This window comes from Homo sapiens, chromosome 3 (genome assembly GCF_000001405.40).
Source record: "Homo sapiens chromosome 3, GRCh38.p14 Primary Assembly".
Lineage (NCBI taxonomy): Eukaryota > Metazoa > Chordata > Mammalia > Primates > Hominidae > Homo > Homo sapiens.
Window position 1 is genome coordinate 148,143,038 of NC_000003.12, and position 767 is coordinate 148,143,804.

Below are 767 nucleotides of genomic sequence, written 5' to 3' on the forward strand. Positions count from 1 at the left end.
TACATTAAAATGTGATATTCTAATTTATGTTTCAGGCCTTGAAGATGAAGAGAAAAATACACCAGCCTTTTAATTATTCCATGTATCATCATAAATATATATTTTATTTATTATGGAATTCTACCTGTGTAATTAAATTTTCCACTGAGTTATAGGGGAGAAATTCATATATTTGTATCAGCTCTTAATTTTCACAATGAATTATTGCAGCTGTCCACTTATCAGTTGGCCTTGCTTTAGTCTGGACTCTTACAGTTTGTCCTCTTCTCTTCTGTAAGAGATATTTTCCTAACATTTGAATCTGATAATGTCACTTTCCTCCACAAAATTCTCCATTGTTTCTTCATTGTCTCCCCAGGGAAAAAATCTAGAACTTTTGCTGGTTTCCATGTATTATGGCTTACATGTTTTTCATGAGTTCTCCCTGACTCTTTTCCCACTTTTATCTCCAAATATTATTCTTTTCTCACTATGACTCTCTAGCAATGCTCAGCTGCTTGTGGTTCTAGAGCATAGCATATTCTAGAATCCTTCTGTGACTTTCCATGTGTACCTGAGTTGCCCTACACATAACAGTTCAATACTCATTTATTCTATAAATATGTAAGAAACTAACTATGGATGTGATAGGCACTTTTCTAGAAATTTGGGACCTGTGGATGAGCAAAGCGAAATTCTTGAAGTTTATATTCTAGTGAAGAAACAGGAGAAGCAGAAACCTTTTTTTAAATAGACATAATAAATAAATAAATTTTAGATTTTTATTG